The sequence below is a fragment of the Homo sapiens genome, chromosome 1 (assembly GCF_000001405.40).
Source record: "Homo sapiens chromosome 1, GRCh38.p14 Primary Assembly".
Lineage (NCBI taxonomy): Eukaryota > Metazoa > Chordata > Mammalia > Primates > Hominidae > Homo > Homo sapiens.
Genome location: NC_000001.11, coordinates 1,959,845 through 1,981,840, shown reverse-complemented (window position 1 = coordinate 1,981,840; position 21,996 = coordinate 1,959,845). Strand labels below are relative to the sequence as shown.

The window sequence follows — 21,996 nt, the reverse complement described above, 5'->3', positions numbered from 1 at the left end:
GCCCCCGTGTCTGTCCGCGGTTGGGTGTCCTGCGTGCCCCCGCGTGTGACCGCGGCTGGGTGTCCTGCGTGCCCCCGCGTGTGACCGCGGCTGGGTGTCCTGCGTGCCCCCGTGTCTGTCCGCGGCTGGGTGTCCTGCGTGCCCCCGTGTCTGTCCGCGGCTGGGTGTCCTGCGTGCCCCTGTGTCTGTCCGCGGCTGTGTGTCCTGCGTGCCCCCGTGTCTGTCCGCGGCTGTGTGTCCTGCGTGTCCCCGTGTCTGTCCACGGCTGGGTGTCCTGTGTGCCCCCCGTGTCTGTCCGCGGCTGTGTGTCCTGCGTGCCCCCATGTCTGTCCGTGGTTGGGTGTCCTGCGTGCCCCCGCGTGTGACCGCGGCTGGGTGTCCTGCGTGCCCCCGTGTCTGTCCGCGGCTGGGTGTCCTGCGTGCCCCCGTGTCTGTCCGCGGCTGGCTGTGCCAGCCCCCGAGGGTCCCCGGGTTCCAGGCGCTTTCCCGCTGGGTCCCGTTGGAGGCAGCGCCCCCTCCCTCTCGCAGTCAAGGTCTCCGTGGCCAATGTGGTGACTCCTTTTGTCGTCTCTGGGCACTGCGGGCACAGGGGCACTGGACGGCTGGGTGCAGCTTCAGCTTCCACTCAGTGGGATTGTTGCAGGGTCTCTGCAAGGCCTCCTCCCTCTGGAACGGGGGCTTCCAGCGGTAGAGCCCAACGGAGAGAGCACAGAAACGAAATAGCACGGGTGTGTGCGAGGGGCAGCTTGGAGAGCGTGGTCCCCGCTTCCAGCGTCGGTCCCGGGAGGCCTCCGTTGTGGCTCTGGGACAGGTGGCGGCCACGAGGCTGGCCGCTGCTTCGGGACCCAAACCGCGTTCTGGAAACAGCACCTGAACCTTCCCCAGCACGTGTCCCTGCTGCCACACCATGCGCGTCATCCGCAGCCACAGAACAGGCCGCCCCAGCCCTTAGCCGCCTAAGGCAGCAGGCGTGATGGTCTCGGTTTCTGAGGGTCTCGGTTTCTGAGGGTCGTGGTCTGGGCAGGGGGTTGGGCTTGGGGTGTTCAGGCCAGCCCGAGAGAGACCCCGTGGAGGGGCTTCAGGCATGAACAGCCGAGGGTCCTTGGAATCATCTTGGAGACGGGATGCTGCATGTGTCTCACCCGCAGCTCTCCCAGGACCAGCATCTCTGCACGCAAGGGGCCATGGGCTGGCAGAAGCGTCTGTGGACTCACGGGCATTTCCTGGCCAGCAGGTCCCAGGAACCCCCAAAGAAGGCCCTAGAGACGACCCTGCCCGCTCACACCACCTCCCGGTCCTCAGCGCCTGCGCAGGTCCCATCCCTGTGCCCGGGGGCTGCTGTGAGGCGCCCACTGCGATCTGTGCCGGTGGCTTAGATACAGTCTCTCGTTCACCCGTCCTCCCCACACGGTAAGAGGGCGCCCACTGCGATCTGTGCCGGTGGCTTAGATACAGTCTCTCGTTCACCCGTCCTCCCCACGCGGTAAGAGGGCGCCCACTGCGATCTGTGCCGGTGGCTTAGATACAGTCTCTCGTTCACCCGTCCTCCCCACGCGGTAAGAGGGCGCCCACTGCGATCTGTGCCGGTGGCTTAGATACAGTCTCTCGTTCACCCGTCCTCCCCACGCGGTAAGAGGGCGCCCACTGCGATCTGTGCCGGTGGCTTAGATACAGTCTCTCGTTCACCCGTCCTCCCCACGCGGTAAGAGGGCGCCCACTGCGATCTGTGCCGGTGGCTTAGATACACTCTCGTTCACCCGTCCTCCCCACGCGGTAAGAGGGTGCCCACTGCGTGCCAGACGCCGTCCGAAGCCTTTGGGCCTCTCCCATGAATGAAGCAGCAGAGCCCTGCCTGGTGGAGGCTGCTTCGGTGGTGGGAGGCAGGCCGTGAGCGATCACACGCGTGTTCTGCGCAGCCTCGTCACGTGACACCTTCCCATGCCCAGCTCAGCACGACACGTGTGTTCTGCGCAGCTTCGTCATGTGACGCCTTCCCACACCCAGGTCAGTACCACACGCGTGTTCTGCGCAGCTTCGTCATGTGACGCCTTCCCACACCCAGGTCAGTACCACACGCGTGTTCTGCACAGCCTCGTCACGTGACGCCTTCCCACACCCAGCTCAGCATGACATGCGTGTTCTGCGCAGCCTCGTCACGCGACACCTTCCCACGCCCAGCTCAGCACGACACACGTGTTCTGCGCAGCCTCGTCACGTGATGCCTTCCCACACCCAGCTCAGTACCACACGCATGTTCTGCGCAGCCTCGTCACGTGACACCTTCCCACGCCCAGCTCAGTACCACACGCGTGTTCTGCGCAGCTTCGTCACGTGACGCCTTCCCACGCCCAGCTCAGTACCACACGCGTGTTCTGTGCAGCTTCATCACGTGACGCCTTCCCACGCCCAGCTCAGTACCACACGCGTGTTCTGCACAGCCTTGTCACGTGACGCCTTCCCACGCCCAGCTCAGTACCACACGCATGTTCTGTGCAGCCTTGTCACATGATGCCTTCCCACGCCCAGCTCAGCACGACACACGTGTTCTGTGCAGCCTCGTCACATGACGCCTTCCCACGCCCAGCTCAGCACGACACACGTGTTCTGTGCAGCCTCGTCACATGACGCCTTCCCACGCCCAGCTCAGCACGACACACGTGTTCTGTGCAGCCTTGTCACATGATGCCTTCCCACGCCCAGCTCAGTACCACACACATGTTCTGTGCAGCCTTGTCACGTGACACCTTCCCACGCCCAGCTCAGTACCACACGCATGTTCTGTGCAGCCTCGTCACATGACGCCTTCCCACGCCCAGCTCAGCACGACACACGTGTTCTGTGCAGCCTCGTCACGTGACGCCTTCCCACGCCCAGCTCAGCACGACACACGTGTTCTGTGCAGCCTCGTCACATGATGCCTTCCCACGCCCAGCTCAGCACGAAGAAGAGGCTTTGTGTGCACCCCGCTTGGCCACATGGGACCCACGGCAGGGCGCTGGTGCTGTGTCCCGGCCTGCTCTGAGGCTTCCCTGACTGCACCCGTATCCCATCGCTGCAGTGACAAATCCACAAACCTAACAGCTCAGCAGGACGCGGATTTATGAGCTTGCAGTTCTAGAGGTCATTGGCCCAACACGGGTCCCACTGGGCTAAAGTCAAGGTGTGGGCAGGGCTGGTTCCCCACGGAAGCCTCCGAGGAGAATCCATGTCCTCGCCTTTTCCAGCTCCAAAGCTGCCTGCGTTCCTCCTCCATCTTCAAAACCAGCCAGGTCCCATCTGTCCAGCCTCCAACCTTCATCATCACCTCTGCGACTGACCACACTGGCTCTTCAGATAAACTGGACTTGAGTGGGGTCCCCATCTACTTCAGCCCTAGGGACCCCAAAATCAATTAACCACCGCCCCAAACCCCTTCCACCCATCCCCGCTGAGACACGCTGCCCTGCTGCCCACCGAGGAACCAGCCCGGCTCCCTCCCAGGCCTAGCAGCACCCCAGGGCTCCACCACCCCTCCCAGGTCCAGCATCGCCCCAAGGCAACAGGGAGCCCCTCAAAGGCAACATCCCTGCCAGGCCCCCGCGCAGTCCGGAGTGCCCCTCGGTGCTTTCAAAGGGCACAGGACTCTCCTCACTGGAGCCATAATGAAGAACATGTCTTCTATATGTGGTCACACTCACTGTCACACTCACCAACAGCTGGATGCAGTGGCTCACGCCTGTAATCCCAACACTTTGGGAGGCCAAGGTGGGCAGATCGCTTGAGCCCCGGAGTTTGAGATCAGCCTGGGAACATGGTGAAACCCCATCTGTACAAAAAATACCAAACTTAGCTGGGTGTGGTGGCGTGCACCTGTAATCCCAGCTACTCAAGATTACAGGCTGAGGTGGGAGGATTGATTAAGCAAGCCCAGGAGGTCAAGGATGCAGTGAGCTGAGACTGCGCCACTGCACTCCAGCCTGGGCCACAGAGCGAGACACCATCTCAACAACAGCAACAACAAACTTTCCAACGGGTTGTCTCTCCAAACATTTGGATTCCTTCTGCATGACTTTCTGGCATCTAGCTTTCTGCAGTGTAGGTCTCTCTTGGGTCCAGGTTTCCTCGATCAGCTGAGTTTGTGATGGGAGCCGCCTGCAGTGGGTGGGTGAGCTGGTGGCATGTCCACATCAGATGCCCAGGCCAGCCTCGGACAGGCTCTTCCCTCTGCGGTCTGGCAGGGTTGGAATTCATTCCCACACACCTTCCCCCACGTCCTGCTGTGTAGATTGGCTACATTCTTCTCCTCTGGGATCCTTCTCCTCTCAGTTCAGTTCAGACTTTGTTCTTGCCCCTGGGAGCATCTGGGCCAGAGAGGATGGCAAGGGGGTCATGAGGAGCTCTGGCAGCCCCTCAGGGAGGTGTTACGGGGCCCCCAGGCAGCAGAGCCTGCCTTCGAGGGAGGGGAAGGCTGCTTCCCTGTGGACGGATATGCAGAGGGGCTTGGCGGTTTGGGGCACTCGCTCAGATGTGTGCAGATACCCTCAAATGTCCTCCCTCCCATTCTCAAAATCCCAATCTTTCCCAATCAGCCTCTGCTGTGGTCTGAAGGCCAGTGCCCCTGAAATTGGTCTGCTGGAACTCAACGCTATTGTTCGTCAGTCTTTGTGTCACTATAAAGAAATGCCTGACACTGGGTCATATAAAGAAAAGAGGTGGCTGGGCGAGGTGGCTCACATCTGTAATCCCAGCACCTTGGGAAGCCAAGGTGGGTGGATCATGAGGTCAGGAGATTGAGACCATCCTGGCTAACACGGTGAAACCCCGTCTCTACTAAAAAAAATACAAAAAATTAGCCGGGCATGGTGGCAGGCACCTGTAGTCCCAGCTACTCAGGAAGCTGAGGCAGGAGAATGGCGTGAACTCGGGAGGCGGAGCTTGCAGTGAGCTGAGACCGCACCACTGTACTCCAGCCTGGGCAACAGAGCGAGACTGTCTCAAAAAAAAAAGAAAAGAGGTTTGGGCCAGACACAGTGACTCACACCTGTAATCCCAGCACTTTGGGAGGCCAAGGTGGGCAGATCACCTGAGGTCAGGAGTTTGAGACCAGCCCGGCCAACATGGTGAAACCCCGTCTCTACTAAAAATACAAAAACTAGCTGGGCGTGGTGGTGCATGCCTGTAATCCCAGCTATTCAAGAGGCTGAGGCGGGAGAATTGCTTGAACCCGGGAGGTGGAGTTTGCAGTGAGCTGAAATCATGCCGCTGCACTCCAGACTGGCGGAGAGAGCAAGACTCATTTTAAAAGAAATAAAAATAAGAAGAAAAGAGGTTTGATTGGTCAGGGTTCTGCAGGCTGTACAGGGAACGTGATGGCATCTGCTTCTCGGGGCGCCTCGGGAAGCCTCTGGAAGCCTCCAATCACAGTGGAAGGGGAAGGAGCCGTGTCTCCCATGGTGAGAGGGGAAGCAAGAGGGTGGAGGTGCCACACATTTTCAAAGATCCAGATCTTCCGTGAACTCACTCGTCACCAAGGAGACGGCCCACCCGTTCATGAGGGAGCCGCCCCACGACCCCAACACCTCCCACCAGGCCCACCTCCAACACTGGGGGCTCCGGTTCAACACGAGACCTGCGGGGGACACGCGTCCAAACCAAATCCGCCCTGGAGGTGACGGCAGGAAGAGGTGGGGTCTCTGGGAGATTCGGCCATGGGGGCCCTGCCCTCGTGGGGGCGATTAGTGCCTCGTAAAAGGGCTTGAGGGAGCCTTTCTGTCCCTCTGCCACGTGAGGACACAGACAGGCACTGCCTTTGAGGAACAGGCTTTCATAGGCCATCGAAGCTGCTGGCACCTTGACCTTGGACTTCCCGGCCTCCAGAACTGAGGAATGAAATTCTGTTGTTTGCGAAGACCCGGTCGTGGGTGTTTTCCTACAGCAGCAGGAATGGGCGACGACAGCATCTGGGACAGCGTCTTGCCTCTTTACTAAGAGACCCTGCAGGCTGTTAGCTCCCACGGCCACTGGAGCACTGATCACCGGGCAGGGGAAGTGACAGCCAGCAGAACAATGACTGAGCGTTTTCCAGAATTGATGGGAGCATGAATCCTCAGATTAAAGAATTTCATGAGTCACGCGAGGGAGGAATAGAAATAACCCGCCCGTGGAAGCTCCGCGGAGTCCCCCAGACTTGGGGAGCAATGAACGTGCTGCATGACAGGACACCAGCCAGAGATCCGAAGTGACCCATGCTCCCTGGAAAGGAGCCCTCTGTTTAAAATTACCCCAACAAAGAACATGGTATGCCCAGTTTCTAAAATGCAGTGACACAACCTCGATGCCAAAACCAAGTGGGCGTACGAGAGAGGGAAAGTAGAACCCGATCTCAGGAGGCAAATCAGAAAACCCCAAATCAAACATTCAACATTGAAATCCAGCCACGTGTGAGACACGCAGACACACCTCCCTTGCCAAGTTGGAGTTTATATCCTAGGAGCCCCGAAAAAGGCTCAACGTTAGAAATCCTTGACATTAACACGTTAAAAGAGAAAACCATTGAGTATCTCAATTCAACATATGTTCATGATTTTTTCAAAAAGATGTAAAGCAGACTTTATTCACGGAGGGCCAAGGCGGTGGGACCCCTGCCCCGGGTGTTGCAGTGGGGAGAGAGACTGGACTCGGCTCCACAGGAAAAGCTTTTAACGAAAGACGAAGTGGAAATGAACATGATCGCGGGTGTCTAGGACAGAGCTGTGGCACACGTCACGTGGAATGTCAGCAATGCAGTGAGGATGCCGGCTCAACGCCTGCGTCTGACCTTGTCCAGGGTTCTGATCCTCGCGTGGCCAGCCCCGGCCTGAGCCGCATCTCTGGGTGGAACCGTTCGCAGTCTCCAGGAGCGGCTCCTTGCATCCCTCCACCAGGTGTCTCTTTCCAGGCCGCCTCTCCAGCGGCTCTCACCTGGCCGCTGTTAGAAGGACACTGTCCACATCCTCAGAAGGAACTTTCCCAGCCTGAGCCTCCACAGCACACGCACTCCTCCAACTAAAGATTCACCGGAAATTTCCCTGAGTTGTGCCAAGAACCAAGGGGCACTGTGTCATCTGGGGCCACCACAGACGCCACACTCACAGTCGAGGACAAATTCGCCCAAGACCAGGGGTCAGGCAGGTCCCCTGTCATCCAGGACATGTGGCCCCGGGCAGGGCTGGCTGACTCCACGCTCCATAGCCCCCACCCCAGGCACATTTGAAGACTGAGGGGTGGTCTTGGGTGCCGGTCAATTTGCACCAGGGATCCTCCAGCCCAGCCAAAGAGTCACGGCTGTCCCTTCCTGAAGGCCTTCCTCAGGCTGGGCAGGGCCTGCCCCAGGCCCACCGCAGCCAACGGACACAGCCTCAGGCCGGCAGGTGGCACGCGGGAGTGCAGGCCAGGCTCTAGCCGGGCTGGATTGAACCCATAGTGATTTTCCTGAGGTTGGAGGCAGGCAGGGCGGGCCTCAGTGTCTGGGTGACTCAGAGCGGAGATGGCCCCTAGAGGAGGGAGCTAACCCATCTGGGGTGTTCAACATCTGCCTGGAGGATTTGTCAGAACTCAATGCCGAAACCCCCACCCCAGGATGACTGTGGGGCCCGTCTCCAGCTGCTTTGCCTCTTGTTTGAAGGAACACCATGTGGCACATCGAGATCCAGGAGGGGCGACTCGAGGCCTTCCGGACAGCTGACCGTGAGGAGGTGGAGGCCACGGGGCGGCGGCTCCAGGTGCGCGCAGCCGAGCAGCTCTGCAGAGAGCAGGAGGCCCTGGGGAAGGTGGAGCGGAACCGACTGCTGAGGATCAGGTAGGCGACACCCAGGCCCACCTCCATCCCTTCCCAGCAGCTTCTGCCAGCCCCTCCGCCCTCTCCCCCAGGGGTCTCCAGATTCAGCCTCGCCCTCCACATCTGTCCAGATCCACCTCCACCCCTCCCTGCCTCCTCCCAGCTTGCTCCTCCACCGGGCCCTTGAGTCCTTCCCAAGTGTCAGGCACTCCCCTGCACCTGCCCAGAGCCCCAGCCCTCCCAAGATGCCGCAGCCACCATACAGCCGCTAAAGCTGGCTACTAAAGCCACGCTCCAGCAAGACTGCCCCTCCCCTTTCCCTCCGGCAGCCCCTTCCTCTTCCCAGCCAGGCCATTCTCTGGGCTCCATCCCCACCTCTGGCTGCTCCTTTGCACCCCTCCCACGGCCCCCACCTGCGTGGCTGTGGAGCACTCAGGCCCATTCCCCACACGTCTTCTGTCATGAGTCTCCTGCTCAGCCAGGGCCCGGCCACCTACTAGGCCAGTCCCCAAGTGCTCCACAGGCCATCAGGCCAGCTGTCCCAACCTGCCGTGAGCCTCTCTCCTCGGGACCCCCTTCTGGCCTCCATCCCCTCCCCCATCTCATTCCTTCCCTTCAGCTGCCCAGGCCACAAACCCCTGTGGAATCCAGGCCCTGGCTGCAGACACAAGGTCCCCAGCCCCTGCCTCCTCCCTCCCCACAGCACTGCTGTGCCTGCACCGTCCTCTTCCCAGACCCCTGCCCAGCTGGGATCAAACCTTGCCTTTGGTGGCTCCCTGGCACTGGAGCCCCAGTAGCGTGGAGAGTTTGACATCTGTGTGGCCCACGGCATCAGCTCTCCAGGGACCCTCGCTCCTCCCCAAGGGAGGCTGTGCGGGACAGAGCTGAGCGAAAGGGCCCACGGCGTCTCTGGGACACGAGCTCCAGCCGTGCAGGGCTTGGGGGCAGATGGGACGTGTGATGCCGAGTTTCCCTCTGACGGCCCCATATCCCCACAGGAAGTCCCTGAACACCCAGAAGGAGCTCGGGCTCAGGCACCAGAAGCTGCTGGAGGACGCCCGGAAGAACCACAAGGTTGCCGTGCGGTTCCTGAAGGCCTCCCTGGGAAGGTAGGGCCTCCCTTCGACGTCCTTAAGGAGAAACCCAAGAATACGGGTCACTTGCTTTTGTCTTGAAATGCCCTGATTTTATTATTTATTTATTTAAGATGGAGCCTTGCTCTGTCGCCCAGGCTGGGGTGCCGTGGCGCGATCTCGGCTCACTGCTCCGCCTCCCGGGTTCAAGCGATTCTCCTGCCTGAGCCTCCTGAGTAGCTGGGATTACAGGCACGCGCCACCATGCCCGGCTAATTTTTGTATTTTTAGTAGAGATGGGGTTTCACCATGTTGACCAGGCTGGTCTTGAACTCCTGACCTCAGGTGATCTGCCCGCCTCAGCCTCCCAAAGTGCCGGGATTACAGGCGTGAGCCACTGCACCCAGCCTCCTGATTTTATTATTGAATCACCACCTTATCATCAAAAACCAATAAGTGTGTATTTTTAGTGCTGAGGTACTGTTTCTTTTCAGAAGAGGCCCTTGAGATGCGCTGGGCGTGTTCCCGCCATGTCCTCGTGGCCTGGCCCTCCAGGGCATGTTCCCACCATGTCGTCATGGCCCGGCCTCTGCGCCAGCACCTTTTGCCCATCCCACCTCTTGTGTTCTCACCATTAATCACATTCCTGGTGGAAATGATAGCACCGAGGCTCCTGTAATTAACACCCCACACGGCATCGCTGTGTCACTTCCTCGGTTAAAAATGTGGCCGTTTGTGGTGGTGCATGCCTGTGATCCCAGCGCTTTGGGAGGCTGAGACAGGAGGATCACTTGAGCCTGGGAGGTCGAGGCTGCAGAGAGCTGTGATCGCACCACTGCACACCAGCCTGGGCGACAGAGCCTCAAAAATGTTTAAATGTCCTTCCTCAGAATCCGAGAGCAAGAGAAGAAGGAGGAGATGGAGTGCCACGAGTACATGAGGCGACGCATGGATGCGGTGGTGGCGCTGAAGGGCAGCATCTCCGCGAACCGGGTAGGCCCCCGCAGCCCCACCCAGCCTCTCCCTTGGCGCCCTGCCGGGGTCCGTCCCTGGGCCCCTGCTCCTTGGGAGCCAGGCCCGTGTCCTCTGGCGTCCAGGGCTGACCCGCGCACTTGGTGACCCCTGGAGGCTTCCCGAGCCTGTGCCACAGATTTGCCCACGGGTTCCGTGTGGGTCAGGGCCAGGCACTGGAGTCAGGCAGGAGCAGGCACCCCAGCCCTGCTCCCATGGGGCCTGGTCTTGTTGGGGAAGCAGTGGCGTCCTCATGAGACACATGGAGGGCCTGGGTGCCTCGAGGCCATGCCCTGGGGCCAAGGCTGGGGATTCAGGCTGGGAAAATGGAGGGAAGAGTGGGAACAGCATCTGCAAAGGCTCAGAGGTGAGGAGCAGAGGCGGGCAGGTGACGTGCAGGGACACCCAGCCCCACGCTTGGGATGTGCGGACAGTTTGCCAGTGGTCTCTCACAGGATCTGCAGGCGTCAACATTGGTTTAAGGACATCTGTTCAACGGCCCAGTGTGTGAGCATGTGTGTGTGCACGTTTGCATGTGTGTGTGCATGTGTGCATGTGTGACCGTGTGTGCACGTGTGTGCATGTGTGACCGTGTGTGTGCAGGTGTGCATGTGTGTGCACGTGTGTGCAGGTGTGCAAGTGTCTGCAGGTGTGCATGTGTGAGCGTGTATGTGCACGTGTGTGCAGGTTTGCATGTGTGTGCATGCGTGAGTGTGTGCATGTGTGTGCAGGCGTGCACGCGTATGTGTGCAGGTGTGCATGTAAGCACGTCTGTGCACGTGTGTGCAGGTGTGCATGTGTGTCCAGGTGTGCATGTGCGAGCATGTGTGTGCACGTGTGAGCATGTGTGTGCACACGTGTGCAGGTGTGCATGTATGAGTGTGTGCAGGTGTGCGTGTGTGAGCATGTGTGTGCACGTGTGTGCAGGTGTGCATGTGTGATGTGTGCATGTGCAGGTGTGCGTGTGTGTGTGCACGTGTGTGCAGGTGTGCATGTGTGATGTGTGCATGTGCAGGTGTGCATGTGTGTGTGCACGTGTGTGCACGTGTGCATGTATGAACCTGTGTGTGCACATGTGCAGGTGTGAGCGTGTGCATGTGCCCGTGGGTGCTGCTGCTGTCATCTCAGTGCTCTCTGTTTCCAAGGACACACTGCGGAAGTTCCAAGCATGGGACCGTGCCAAGGCAGAGCTGGCGGAGCAGAGGGTCCAGGCTGAGAAGAAGGCGATTCTGGCCCAGGGCAGGGATGCATTCAGGCACCTTGTCCACCAGCGCCGGCGCCAGGAGCTGGAGGCCCAGAAGAGGTGAGGGTGGTGGCAGAGGTGCCACCGGGAGGCACCCGCCCAGTCAGTGGGTGCAGGGAGAGCCAAGGGGGTTCGGCTTCACATTGAGCAAAGCTGCTCTCTCTCCCAGGGCGCCCACTCAGGCGGCTGTGGGGCACGGGAACAGGGGCTCCAGGCTGCTACCCTTGCCCTGCCTGGGCCTGACTCAGCCTGCCCAGCCCTGCCCCTACTCCAGTCCACGCCCAACCCTCGGCCCCTTCTCCCCTCCCAGACGCTGAAACCCCGGCCCCTGTCGAGAGCCTCCGGCTCCTGTCCTGACTTCTCACAAGGAGGGACTGGCGGGCTCTTTCCTGGCCCACCCAGAAGTCTCCAGGGAGCACCAGGCCCCTCCAGGGAACCTGGTGCTGCTGGGCCTGCCCTTGCTCACTCCCTGTCCAGGGCCGTCCACCTGGCTTCCTGCTGCCACGGCCTTGGGGCCCTCCTGGCCCCTCAGACCACCTCCTGCCAGCTTGGGTCCGTGGTGAACACGTTGCTTCTGGCTTCACTCTCTGTTCTTCTCCAAACGGGGGCCCATGTTGCCCTCTCGGACCCCCCACCCACGGGCCCCACTGGGCTTCCTGAGATCCAGACCTCGGGGCCAGGTTCCTACAAGGCCCCTCTCTCCCGCTCAGTCTCGCCTTTCCCAGCCCTGCCCGTAACGCTCCCCAGTGACCTCCACGCAAACCACCCTGTCCTGGGTTTTGCCCGAAGCTGCCCTCATCCCGGGAGCCTGGCCCTTTCTCCCCATCCCAGTCTCCCTGTCCACGGCCCTGGCCAATCACTGCTTAGGATCTGCCTGGGCGGGGGCTCCTGGCCCTCTCACTGGGCAAGGCATCCTCCTCTGGGTGCCACAGAGCCCTGAGTGCGTCCTCCCCACCCCCCTGAGTCACGATCAGAGTTCTCCACCACCCATCAGCCTGCCCACCTGGGCGGGGGGGTCCTGGCAGCAGCTCCACCGCCTATACATCCCTTAGCCTGGCGCAGGCCTGGCATGTAGGAGGCACCCGGGAAGTGCAGCTGCAGTGAGTGGATGAACATCTTTAGCCCTGGTGCTACTCTCAGTGGCAGCCCCACGCCAGCCTAGAAATAAGGGCTTGGAAGAAGCCCTCCGGGCAGCCAAGGCTGCTGGGGGACTGGGCTGCGAAGTGGGCAGGGCTGGGCCGGGCAGGGCTGGGCTGGGCAGGGCTGGGCAGGACTGGACTTGGAAGGGATGGGCTGGGCTGGGCAGGGCAGGGCTAAGCTGGGCAAGGCTGGGCTTGGCAGGGCTGGACTGGGAAGGTCTGGGCTGGGCTGGGCAGGGCAGGGCTGGGCAAGGCAGGGCTGGGCAGTGCAGGGCTGGGCTGGGAAGGCCTGGGCTGGGCAGGGCAGGGCAGGGCTGGGTTGGGCAGGGCTGGGCAGGGCTGGGTTGGGCAGGGCAGGGCTGGGCAGGGCTAGGCTGGGCTGGGCAGGGCTGGGCAGGGCTGGGCAGGACTGAGCAGGACTGGGCTTGGCAGGGATGGACTGGGCAGGGCAGGGCTGGGGTTTAAGCCTGGAACCTCTGGCTTGGCCTCTGCCCATCTGCTTCCCACTGGAGCTTGCGTTTAGCTCCAGGACCAGGAAGTTCCCACCCCAAGAGCCCTGCTGGGTAGGATGGAGTCCCCAGGAGGGAGCTAGGGAGGGGCCGCCAGGCGCTGTCTCACCTGGGGCTGCTGGGCAGGACCGGAGCCCCCAGGAGGGCGCTAGGGAGGGGCCGCCGGGCACTGTCTCATCTGGGGCAAGGTGGAGGCAGGGGACCTCTTGCACTCATCTGAGAAGCGACTCCACGCAGGGCCTTTGAGGAGGAGCAGAAGCTCAGAAAGCAGGAGATCATCAGTCGGATTCTGAAAGAGGAGGCTGAGGAGGAAAAGAGGAAGAAACAGCATCCCCCCACCAGTGCCAGGCACCGGCTGACCCTGAGGGACAAGACCTGGAACTACATTTCTGACTTTTGCAAGAAGACCACAGTCCCAACCAACACGTACACACTGGTGAGCAAAACGCCTTCCTGTAGACAGAAGCCGCACACCTGTGGAGGGCAGGTGGGGCCTCAGGGCTCAGGTGTGGTGAGACATCCTCTGAGGACCTCAGCACCATGGCCACCTGCAGGGGGTTGCTGAGCCCGCTGAGTGGCCGCCACTCAGCTCAAGGACAAGGGGACAAGACACACTACGGACCCACCACATGAGAGAGGCCCATGGCCGCAGCATCCCCAGCAAGGGTCCAGTGTCCTCCTGGTCTCGGTGTGCCCACCAGACCCTGCGTCACCCCCAGCAGTGTTGCTGCCCACCAGGCTGGGACCACCTTGCCTGGCCCTGTAGAGCTGGGTCAGCCGCCTGCCAGGGAGATGTGCACAGCCGTTCAGACCACATGCCTGGGATCACCCTGCTACAAAGCACTCCTGATAGCACCTAGAGGACAGCTTTCCTATCACTCATTCATTCACTCACTCATCCTTTATTCGTTCACTCACTCATTCTTTCTTCATTCATTCACTCACTCATTCTTCATTCATTCACTCATTCATTCACTCATTCACTCTTTACTCATTCACTCATTCATTCACTCACTCACTGATACACTTATTCATTCACTCATTCACTCATTCATTCACTCATTCGCTCACTCATTCACTCATTCATTCTTTACTCATTCACTCATTCACTCACTCACTGATTCACTCATTCATTCATTCACTCACACATTCACTTATTCACTCACTTACTCATTCACTCACTCACTCACATCCAGGGCCTGCTTGGTGTCCACTGCTGCTGCAGGCAACTGGCTTCAGTTGGGGGAATGTATTTCTAGTTTACCTTTCCCTAAAGGTGTGGGGTAGGGACGATGGTCCTCTCCTGAGTCTGGCACAGTGCTGCAGTCTCTGCCCTTGTGTACCCCAAAACCTGAAGGTCAAGGTCACTGCTGCAACCGATGCCCTGCTGGGAAAGAGAAAGCCTTGGGCTGCCTCAGCTTTGGCCTCCACAGGGTCTCTGCGGTGCCCTTCAGGGCACCAGAGAAGGTCCTTTCCTGCTACCCAGGCTCCCAGTGCCTGGGCTGAGCCTTTGCCCCATCCACCCCTCACTGCCCGTCTCACGCCGGGGCCTTTGCACCCGCCGATCCCTCCGCCAGGAGCACCCTGCTGCGCCTCCTTGCTCCAGAGAAGCCTCCCCTGCCCCCACCCCCACCCGTGAGCTGCTCCCTGCGATTTTCTGTGGCACCACCTGTGGCACTATACAGGTCACAGTAACAGCAATGCGCTGGCCCCGTCCAGACTTCCTGTCTGTCGCTCCATAGGACGGTCCCCAGGAAGAAGAACCCTGTCTACCCGGCCCAGTTCCCCCTTCTCCAGCAGGCCTGGGACAGAGCCAGAGCAGATAGGCAAGGCTCCGTCCCCAAACTCATTCTGAGGAAACCACCACAGCCATCCTCCTGGGGTCAGCCTGGGGCTTTTCCCGGGCATGGCTTATATCCACAGAAATGAGAACTGCGCCAGGCGCGGTGGCTCACACCTGTAATCCCAGTACTTTGGGAGGCTAGGGTGAGTGGATCATGAGATCAAGAGTTCGAGACCAGCCTGGCCAACATAGTGAAACCCCATCTCTACTAAAAATACAAAAAATTAGCTGGGTGTGGTGGCGGGCGCCTGCAATCCCAGCTACTCGGGAGGCTGAGGCAGGAGAATCATGTGAACCCGGGAGATAGAAGTTGCAGTGAGCTGAGATCGCGCTGCTACACTCTAGCCCAGGTGACAGTGCAAGACTGCGTCTCAAAAAAAAAAAAAAAAATGAGAACAGATGAGTGCCTGAGGATCGGCGCCAAGGATGCCAGTCCGTGAATTAGAACATTTTCCTATCAAAGGAAATATTTTGCAGACTCTTCTGAGCATTGTAGAAAAATATTTAATAATGTATTAAAATACTTATATTTCAAGTAGAAAAAGTTACAAAACCGTGTGCACCGCTATCTCCATGCAGAGTACGTGAGGCAGAAGAACGGGGGCAGGCAGCGGGCCATACCGGCGGGGGCTGGGCCGAGTTTCTCTTCCCTGTTCTCTGTCATGAGCGTGTCTTTGCGATGTTCCTCTCCCCGACTGCAGGACTACGAGGCTGCTGCAGGCCCCGGGCCCTCTCGGTTGCTGGAAGTCGTTTCCAGTGAGCTTATCCAGGGGGACCCCGGGGCCAGCTCAGAGGAGGAAACGTTAGCTGAGCCCGAGATCTCTGGGCTTTGGAATGAAGACTACAAGCCATACCAGGTATCAGCTCCTGCTCCTTTAGACGCTTGCAGACGGACCCCGGCCCTCTGTCGCCGGCTCGCCACCTCCCACGCCTGCCCCGGCCACACCAGCTGCTCTGAGGCTTCTCCTGGCTGTGCCTGCCATCTCCCGCCACCCTCTCCTGTGTGTGGACGCCCCCCGCCTCCCTCTCCACACTCATGCCTTTCCCTCTTCGCGGAGCCTGGAGGGCACCACGCGTGCTCGACGACCCCAAGCTCCCCCTGACAGACAGCTCGGTCACCATGGTGTAACGGGGAGGGACGGTGGGGCTCCAAAGCTGAAAGGCTGAGGGAATGACTCTGAGCTACTCCGTGTACTATTGGAGAAGCATCTTTCTAGAAGAAGCGTGCAAACTTTCTTTGACGGCCTTTTGTAAGAAACATGCCCCATCTGGCGCTGGGGTCCTTCTGCCTCTGAAAGAGCAGTTACAGCAAGACACGGTCTCTGCAGCAGTGTGGCTCAGGCTGTGGCCCTGTCCCACGTGGGAGGGCAATGCCCGCCGCCCGGTTTCTGTAAGCATTGGCCACCTCTACTGTCAGGGCAAAAGCCACCTGGTTCTGCTGGTTCTGGGGATGCCGGGCTGACCAGGGTGGTGAACAAGACAGGCCAGGCAGAGCCACCACCTGCCCACTGGGGACACCCAAGGGAGAAGGCTGCCTCTGGACAAGAGGAGGGTGCCAAGTGCCCCCCCCACCCCGGGAAGCCAGGGAGGAGGCTGCCCGGCTGCCGGGCATGGGCACCAGCAGGGACAGCCCACAGCCCAGAGCCAGGACCCACGCAGAGTCCAAGCAGCTTCTGAAGGGACAGTTCAGGACTCCAGTTCTGATCTTCCTGGTTGCTGGTGTTGGCCAGGGAAGCGGCTTTTCATCTGAGAAAGCCCAGTGTGTGCTGACACTGCCCGCTCGAGAAAACTGCTTCCTGCAGAACCTTTCAAAACCTTCCTCTTGTCCTGATTTAACAATCTGGAAAGTTCCCCCTCCACATCATTTCCCAGAAATCCACCTGAATCTGGAGCTGTCTGCTCTTGTTTCCTGGTTTCCTCTTTTTTGGAAGTGAGGGGTCCCTGCCTTGTCAATGGAGCAGAAAGTCAGTCGGTCCCCAGGGCCTTTCTGAGCAACTCAGAGCAACTCCCCGGGCCATGGGGCTCTTCCCAGCTCCAGCGCTGGTGGCAGCCGGTGGGGCTGGGCTGTCCGTGCTCTGCTAACCGCTACCCTCGCCTCCGAGCTGCCACCGGCGCCGCCCAGGTGGAGCCGCTAACAGCCCCAGCCTCTGTCTCTGTGACCCCCAGGTGCCCAAGGAGGACGTGGACCGAAAGCCCGTGGGCGGGACAAAGATGGACAAGGACATCCTGGAGCGCACGGTGGAGCGGCTGCGGAGCAGGGTGGTCCACAAGCAGGTGGTGTGGGGGCGTGAGTTCCAAGGACGCCCCTTCAACAGCAAACCGGAGCTCCTCCACTTCCAGGTGAGCCCGCAGCTGGGCCAGGAACGGGACGGGCAGCAGCACAGGACAGCAGGGGAGCCCTGCCGCAGCCCAACCCCTGACACCTTTTGCTTTTTTTTGAGATGGAGTCTCACTCTGTCGCCCAGGCTGGAGTGCAACGGCATAATCTCAGGTCACTGCAACCTCCGCCTCCTGGGTTCAAGCGATTCTCCTGCCTCAGCCTCCCGAGTAGCAGGGATTACAGGCGCCTGCCACCACGCCTGGCTAATTTTTGTATTTTTAGTAGAGACGGGGTTTCACCATGTAGGCCAGGCTGGTCTCGAACTCCTGACCTCAGGCGATCTGCCCGCCTCAGCCTCCCAAAGTGCTGGGATTGCAGGCATGAGCCACTGCGCCTGGCCTGCCTTTCGCTTTTTAACGCTGGAAAACCCGGGGGCTTCCTCAGGAGGCACAGGCCCAAGTGTGGACCTTCTCTTCCAGGAGGTGGAGGGAGAGGGCCCCATCCCCATGGAGGGCTGGACGCCAGTCTGAGCAATGGGGGTGCCGTGGCCCCGAAAGCCCTGTGCCACTTGGGGCAGTGGGGGTCCCCTGAACCTCGGGACAGGGATGTAGCAGGGACAGGGTGGGAACATGTGAGGCTGAGGTTGGTGCCTGGACGCCTCTGCCAAACTCTGCAAGACAGAGCAGGCTGTGGGCTCCTGTATTTGACCCCAGCTCAAGTCCATCCATGGAGTCAGGGACCCACCTTGGAACCCACAGTGTCTGAGCCTTTTCTCTTACTCCCACCTGCGGGCCCCAGCAAGGCCCTGTCCTGCCTCAAGTGGCGAAGGCTCTTATGTGACAGGTTCCACCCCCAGACCTGTCCTTCATGCACCCCAGGGGCCTTCTCGATTCTGGGAGAAACCTTGGAAATTGTTCCCTGGGAACCTCTCCCTAGTTGGCAAATGCTCACCAGCGGTTACCTTGAGGCAAAGCTGCCTCGGTGCTCACAGCACAGCCCCCTGTGACCCGCTCTGAAGCTGCTACCTCGGCCTTTCCCAGGACTTTGATATTGGCAAAGTGTACAAGAAAAAGATCACGTTGGTAAACACCACCTACACGATCAACTACTGCAAGCTGGTGGGCGTGGAGGAGCACCTCCGGGACTTCATCCACGTTGAGTAAGAGGACGGCTCAGACAGGGAGGGACGCGGTGCAGGGACAGCAGGAGGTTCATAGGTCCCTTCATGTTCAGAACGGCTGGAACAGGCTCTATATGGGCATAAGCCCTCAGGTCCGATTTTCACGAAGATTTTGTAGAGGGGGCTCCTCTGTCTTCTTGTGTCAAAGTCGTCCGAGACCGAGCCCATTTCCCTTCACGAATGGCTGGAACTTTGCCTGGCTGCCCAAGTTTCCTTTTGTTTTTCTTCGTTTTGTTTTGCTGCCTTTTTTTTTTTTTTTTTTTTTTTTTTTGAGATGGAGTCTTGCTCTGTCGCCCAGGCTGGAGTGCAAGTGCGATGGCGCGGTCTCAGCTCACTGCAACCTCTACCTCCTGGATTCAAGAGATTCTCCTGCCTCAGCCTCCCCAGTAGCTGGGATTACAGGCACCTGCCACTACGCCTGGCTAATTTTTATATTTTTAGTAGAGACCGGGTTTTACCATGTTGCCCAGGCTGGTCTCGAACTCCTGACCTCAGGCGGTCCACCTGCCTTGGCTTCCCAAAGTACTGGTATTACAGGCATGAGCCACCACACCTTGTCAGAGTTTCCTTTTGTATTGTTATGTTTTGATGTTGACCATTCTGATAAGTTTTCCCTGGCAATTAGCCAGTGTTTTCAGTGTCAAGGTGAAAGCTGTCTTCATTTCAGCACTGCCTCCCTGAATTAAGGCCGTGCTTTCACTCTGTAACAATGTTTCCATTTGCTTCCTTGCAGACTCCACTTACCTGTGTTTTGGATCCTCCTTGCTGGTCTTTGGTGTCTGATGTTTTCCTTCTGGTTGCCTTTAATGCTTTCTGCTTTCCTTTTCTTTGTTTTGTTTTTGACAGGGTCTTGCTCTGTCACCCAGACTGGAGTGCAGTGGCACGATCTCAGTTCACTGCAGCCTCAATTTCCCAGGCTCCAGCAATCCTCCTGCCTCAATCAGCCTCCTGAGTAACTGGGACCACAGCTGTGTGCCACCAAGCCCGGCTAATTTTTCTATTTTTTGTAGAGACAGGGTTTCACTGTGTTTCCCAGGCTGGTCTCAAACTCCTGAGCTCAAGTGATCCACCTGCCTCAGCCTCCCCAAGTGCTGGGATTACAGGTGTGAGCCCCTGTGCCTGGCCCATTTTCTTCTTTTCTCTTTTATTTTATTTTTCTTCATTTTTCCCTCTGACGGCCTTTTCCATGTTTTCTGCAATGTTTCTCTTTTCTTCTGCTCCTTAGTAACTTACTTTTTTTTTTTTTTTTTTGAGATGGAGTTTCACTCTTGTTGCCCAGGCTGGAGTATAGTGGCACAATCTCGGCTCCCTGCAACCTCTGCCTCCTGGGTTCAAGCGATTCTTCTGCCTCAGCCTCCTGAGTAGCTCGGATAACAGGCGCCTGCCACCACGTCCGGTTAATTTTTTGTATTTTAGTAGAGACGGGGTTTCACCATGTTGGCCAGGCTGGTCATGAACTCCTGACCTCAGGTGATCCGAGGCCCACCTCGGCCTCCCAAAATGCTAGGATTACAGGCGTGAGCCACAGCACCCAGCCTAACTTACTTTATTTTTAAGAAAGTTCTTTCTCTTCTACTTCCTGCTTCCTGCCAGTTTTCTCTTTGTGGACAGGTTTGTAGGTCCAGGATGGCTTTCGGATTCCCAGTTCAGGAGTTTCCACTCCCGCGAGCGTTGTGAAGTGCAGCTTCTCAAAAGAGGGTCAGCAAGGGCAGGATCCTCATTCCCCCCTTGCTGCCCAGGCTCCAGAGGGGCCTCCTCTTCTCCCACGAGGCATCTTCCTGAGGCTGCCCCCAGGGGCGCGTGGGCTCTGATGGCCCCTCCCTGAGATCAGCACTGACTCACTGGGACTTGGTATTTTCTTGTGGAGGCTGTGATGTTCTCTTTGGGGAGCTGATTTTAGGTCAGTCTTAGGGTCTTTGTTCCCGTCTCCTTCCTCTCTTCCCTGCAGTTTTTCAGACCTTCGTAGCTCTCTGTGAAGGCGGGCATGGAGAATGCATGCTGGAGGTTGGTGTTTACTTTTCACCTTATGGTTAATTTTAAGTCTGGAGGGTTCTGTGTCCTCTAGTCATGCTGAAGGCATGGGATTTCTGCAGCCCGCCTGTTTCTCTCATTGATCCATGTGGTTTCTGGAGGGCGCGTGCAGAGGTGGGTTTAGGTGGTCGCTGTGCTCTCAGCCACCGAGGCATTCCTCCCCACGCTGGGATGAGAACTTCTCATGGACGGTTATTTTCTCTCAACAGGTTGAGGCCACCACTCTCCTGCCCTCTGCCTCTTGTTGCTGGAGTGGGAGGTGGCCTCGGTCCAGGTGCTGGTTTTTTTGGAGGATACCTGGCTTTCCGCCTGCTTGCTCTGAGATTCTCTCATCCTTAATGTCCCGCAGCTCTGCTGTGCGTCTGGTGTGGGCTGATTTTTCTTAGACCTCACTGTGCTGTTGAATCTGAAGATTCAGATCTTTGAACAATTTTGGGAACTTCTCAGCCCCAGCTCCCCAGGCATCGCCCCTCCCCCATTCATTCTCCGGCTCTGCCCTCCTGCTCCTCCTTTTGAAACCTCCCCGTCGGGTTGGAAATTTCTTGTCTCTTTTTCGCATTGGGTGGTGCTCTAGGTGCTGCTCGGTTCACCACTTGTCCCCTTAGTGCTGCTAATCAACGGTTGAAATTGCTCAGTAAGTTTCTTACTCAGCTGCCCTGTCTCTCATTTCTAAAAATGCCAAGTTCTGTTTTGGATGAGTCTGCATTTCTTGACAGTGTCTTGTTCTTTTCTCACGTCTGGAATTCTCTATTTCTGTCTCTAACCATTTTATCTATACGTCCTCTAACATCCCCACTCCACGCTTCTGTCATCTGAAGGGTTTGGAGCTCGGCCCTGCACTCTGCTGCTGGTTTATGTGAGGCACGCACGTCCACCCTCTCGGATTCTGCTCCTCTCCCCGGCAGCTCCATCCCGGGCTCTGTGCAGTCGGCACCAAAGCATTTCCCTCCCAATTGGAGGAGCTTTGGGTTTGCTTCTGCTGGTGCCGTGGGAATGTTGCCAGCCAGGGACACATTTTACATTAAAATTTTAGCTTGTGCATTTCTAAACCAAGCACATTAGGTAAAATCCAACCTTGTGAAATCAGCCTGGCGTCAGGAATTCCTTGGGGAGATGCTCCCTCACCCTGATCTGGGCCAAGACAGACCAGCTCCCTCAAGTGGCCTGTGCAGTAGGGGCTATTTTTGTGGTTCTTTCCCTGAAAGGGGCTGAGAGGGTCCCGAGGGTCCCAGCTGTCTCAGGACTCCCAGTTCCAGCTCTCTTCCTGGCTCCTGCCCACAGCCCCCTGGTCCCATATTGGTATCAAAGCCCTAGAGCCCCGGTCCCAGGCCTGGCACCTGTGCCCAGGGGAACTGTGGCCCTCTCCGACCCATGGGGTCCCATTTCCTGGCAGTTGGCCTGGGGACTTGCCTCACGCCTTCAGTGATTAACTCCCTCACTCCACAAACGTTCGCACACACTGGAGCGCCCCCTGCCTGCCAGGTACTGGCGGCAGCAGGGAATGCAGCAGATCCAGCACTCCCCGGGGTGAAGGCGGCTGGGCAGGGGGCCAGGCCCGGGATGGGGAGGAGGCCAGGAGGCCCAGCCTGACTGTGCTCTGGGTGGTGAGGCGAGCGTCTGCCCTCCGCAGCACTAACCCCCGTGTGCTATGGGTCACGTCCTGCAGCTTTGACCCCCCTGGCCCCCTGTCAGCCGGAATGTCCTGTGAAGTGCTTGTCACCTTCAAGCCGATGGTGAGTCAGAGGGGCCCGTTCTCTCTCGAAGGGGAGGTGGTGGTGGGTGGAGCCTGTGATCGGGCATGGTGGCGCAGAACATGATGGGGGAAGGATGCACTTGGCCTCTCAGTGAGGAT

At 58.7% G+C, this 21,996-nt stretch overlaps 1 protein-coding gene across 1 annotated transcript in view, besides 6 other annotated features; it reads left to right on the top strand.

The window, feature by feature from the left end:
* The window catches only part of CFAP74 (cilia and flagella associated protein 74), an 81,830-nt gene that overhangs the window by 21,946 nt on the left and 37,888 nt on the right, over positions 1–21,996 (top strand). Inside the window, exons 7-15 of the mRNA NM_001304360.2 lie at positions 7,643–7,816; positions 8,794–8,904; positions 9,759–9,861; positions 11,025–11,182; positions 13,008–13,206; positions 15,315–15,470; positions 16,780–16,953; positions 17,974–18,092; positions 21,811–21,877. Coding sequence (NP_001291289.1) covers positions 7,643–7,816; positions 8,794–8,904; positions 9,759–9,861; positions 11,025–11,182; positions 13,008–13,206; positions 15,315–15,470; positions 16,780–16,953; positions 17,974–18,092; positions 21,811–21,877 — 1,261 coding nt within the window. The remainder of the gene's footprint in view (positions 1–7,642; positions 7,817–8,793; positions 8,905–9,758; positions 9,862–11,024; positions 11,183–13,007; positions 13,207–15,314; positions 15,471–16,779; positions 16,954–17,973; positions 18,093–21,810; positions 21,878–21,996) is intronic.
* Positions 1,302–2,259: an enhancer, noted in NCBI's record as "H3K27ac-H3K4me1 hESC enhancer chr1:1911021-1911978 (GRCh37/hg19 assembly coordinates)". NCBI's record gives its function as "activates a minimal SCP1, AML or CMV promoter by ChIP-STARR-seq in naive H9 embryonic stem cells {active_cell/tissue: H9 hESC(naive)}" and the evidence as "EXISTENCE:reporter gene assay evidence [ECO:0000049][PMID:30033119]".
* Positions 2,260–3,217: an enhancer, noted in NCBI's record as "H3K27ac-H3K4me1 hESC enhancer chr1:1910063-1911020 (GRCh37/hg19 assembly coordinates)". NCBI's record gives its function as "activates a minimal SCP1, AML or CMV promoter by ChIP-STARR-seq in naive H9 embryonic stem cells {active_cell/tissue: H9 hESC(naive)}" and the evidence as "EXISTENCE:reporter gene assay evidence [ECO:0000049][PMID:30033119]".
* Positions 8,022–8,189: a silencer, noted in NCBI's record as "fragment chr1:1905091-1905258 (GRCh37/hg19 assembly coordinates)". NCBI's record gives its function as "represses an EF-1alpha promoter that drives an FKBP-Casp9 reporter gene in an ReSE screen in phorbol 12-myristate 13-acetate-treated (for megakaryocytic differentiation) K562 erythroleukemia cells {active_cell/tissue: K562(+PMA)}" and the evidence as "EXISTENCE:reporter gene assay evidence [ECO:0000049][PMID:32094911]".
* Positions 8,447–9,010: an enhancer, noted in NCBI's record as "H3K4me1 hESC enhancer chr1:1904270-1904833 (GRCh37/hg19 assembly coordinates)". NCBI's record gives its function as "activates a minimal SCP1, AML or CMV promoter by ChIP-STARR-seq in primed H9 embryonic stem cells {active_cell/tissue: H9 hESC(primed)}" and the evidence as "EXISTENCE:reporter gene assay evidence [ECO:0000049][PMID:30033119]".
* Positions 10,377–11,158: an enhancer, noted in NCBI's record as "H3K4me1 hESC enhancer chr1:1902122-1902903 (GRCh37/hg19 assembly coordinates)". NCBI's record gives its function as "activates a minimal SCP1, AML or CMV promoter by ChIP-STARR-seq in primed H9 embryonic stem cells {active_cell/tissue: H9 hESC(primed)}" and the evidence as "EXISTENCE:reporter gene assay evidence [ECO:0000049][PMID:30033119]".
* Positions 21,260–21,965: an enhancer, noted in NCBI's record as "H3K4me1 hESC enhancer chr1:1891315-1892020 (GRCh37/hg19 assembly coordinates)". NCBI's record gives its function as "activates a minimal SCP1, AML or CMV promoter by ChIP-STARR-seq in primed H9 embryonic stem cells {active_cell/tissue: H9 hESC(primed)}" and the evidence as "EXISTENCE:reporter gene assay evidence [ECO:0000049][PMID:30033119]".